Here is a 2380-nt window from a genome sequence, read left to right as displayed (position 1 = left end):
TGTCCAATACCAAATCTTAGCAATTTCAGAAATAGAGAAAAAAAATTAGGCCATGTTATATGCAAACTACCCACCTATGCTGTAGGATAATTAGTGTTTATAGGGTTGCATATGTTCTACTGTTATCTGATTGCAAGTTTTTCTAATAACCTCTACTTTATATCAGCATTTCTTAGTGCTGACTGTGTCTCTGTGACCTCTTTGCATGGCATCATTTTATTTTATTATATTATTTATTTATTTATTTATTTGAGATAGGGTCTCACTCTGTCACCCAGGCTGGAGTGCAGTGGTGTGATCATGGCTCCCTGTAACCTCTACCTCCCCAGGCTCAGATTATCCTCCCACCTCAGCCTCCTGAGTAGCTGACACCACAGATGCACACCACCATTCATGGCTCAATGTTTTCTCTCTCTTTTCTTTTCTTTTTTTTTTTTTTTTTTTTTTTGGTAGAGATGGGGTTTTGTCATGTTGCCCAGGCTGATCTCAAACTCCTGGACTCAAGAGATGCACCACCTTGGACTTCCAAAATGCTGGGCAAGTCCTGCTGTCTTTACCACCTTCTAAATATTTCTCACAACTCTATACTCATTGTCCATTACTTTGATGTTTGATCAAGATTTATTCATTTCTCTCTTGCCTTACTGCAGTGGCCTTCAGAAATATACAATTTAATGTGAAATCTTTACATTTAATAAGCATTGATTATTGTTACTATGTCACTTATCAATGACATTTGATTTTTTACTACTGTTTTTAACTGTAGAATTTATTAAGTTTTCAGTGAATTTAGTATTAAGACTTTTGTTTTGCCTCTTTCTACAGGCAATAGGAAGGGCATCCCATTTAGAGCCAATAGAAAAGATCAGAGATTAACATTTTAAAATTTAAGCCTTCACAGAAGAATTCTAGACATTTTATCACATGAAATTACTTCTACCTAGAGCTAAATCAGGACTTCATCTGTGTGCAATAGAGGCAACAAAAATCTACATATGGAAGTTGGAGAAAAGAAGCTTTCAAAAATAAATGTATGTCACCATTCTGTAGGAAAGAGCTCTCAGTGTGAATGTAAAAGAAATTTTATTCAAGTCAAAAGAAGTATAAGACTCCTTATTGACTCTTCCTTGAACAAAGATTTGTCTGACTTCAAAAGAGAAGCAACAGCACCGGGCTTTTGAATTCAGTAGAGAGGGCTTGTAGACATGCCCTTTAATGGATCAATAACTCAACTGGTAATGAGAAGCAGAGTCTATTTCCAGAAGTCCAATACCAAAAATCATAGATTAGCAGTTCTATTATATTTAAACTTTCAAACTCAAACTGAAGGGCTAAAAATTTTTGAGAGAAAAGAGAGAGTCCACAGTCTTTAGTAAATCACCCTGTGACTTTCCCCATGTGATAATAATAGTCCTATTACAAAGACTCAATTAAAATGTGGGTCTTACAGCCTATTATGAAGATGTTTCCAGAGGAAGAAGAGAAGGAAGTCAATTTTCCTTTAAAAGGAATAACAGACAATACTCATACGCCAAAAAGCTTGAATAACTTCCTGGATAAAACAGTCCTTGAGGCAAGAAAAATCAAACAAAAATCTATCTTGAGCTTTAATAAGTCTCAATCTTAACCTGGATCAAGATTATGTGAATTTCGTACTGTATTTGGAATTATTTTAACTATAAGCACTGAATCCTATACCTATAAGTGCTACCTTATTTTCATGTTAATTTTAATTAATTTATTCTAATATTATTCTCACAGAATATTATGTTGTTTCAGTATTTTCTGAGTCTGAAATTTCTTTTTTAGATCTAAAGCCAGGGACTGTTTCTCTTGTTCAGTTCCAATTATATTTCTCCCCAAATCTTACATTAGTTTCTAAATAAAATGATAAAACATTCTAATCAGCTAGGGATTACCATAGGATTGTGTAGGATATAGGGGCTCAATGGAAATCAATAAAATGTCAGTGATTCAAGCTGTTTCAAGAAAGAAATACAATCCCTTTTTCTGATTTACATTTCAGGATTATTTGCTTGTATTCTTTAAAAATATCTAAACAGTTTTCCATCTCATTTTCAGGAAGAATACAAACCCTTCACCCCCTCCAGCACACACACACACTGTTATTTATAAACCTTTAAAAGCTTATAAAAACACAATTTAAAATAAATAATTCTTGATAAATACTGTATCAAAACTTCTGTACACATAACAACTATTGCCTAAGGATCCCATTAATGGAAAGTATGATAATAATGTAAACTAACAAGCCAATGACTATTCTTCAGACTCATAGATTCTAGTTCAAGAGATAATCTCATTCTTAATTTTTGCATACTAAGCTGGTTTATGATGTACTGTAGTATGTGCATTTACC

At 33.4% G+C, this 2380-nt stretch overlaps 1 annotated feature.

The window, feature by feature from the left end:
- Positions 245-423: a silencer, noted in NCBI's record as "fragment chr2:186113556-186113734 (GRCh37/hg19 assembly coordinates)". NCBI's record gives its function as "represses an EF-1alpha promoter that drives an FKBP-Casp9 reporter gene in an ReSE screen in phorbol 12-myristate 13-acetate-treated (for megakaryocytic differentiation) K562 erythroleukemia cells {active_cell/tissue: K562(+PMA)}" and the evidence as "EXISTENCE:reporter gene assay evidence [ECO:0000049][PMID:32094911]".

This window comes from Homo sapiens, chromosome 2 (assembly GCF_000001405.40).
Source record: "Homo sapiens chromosome 2, GRCh38.p14 Primary Assembly".
Taxonomy (NCBI): domain Eukaryota; kingdom Metazoa; phylum Chordata; class Mammalia; order Primates; family Hominidae; genus Homo; species Homo sapiens.
This window is presented reverse-complemented; position numbering and strand designations above follow the sequence as displayed.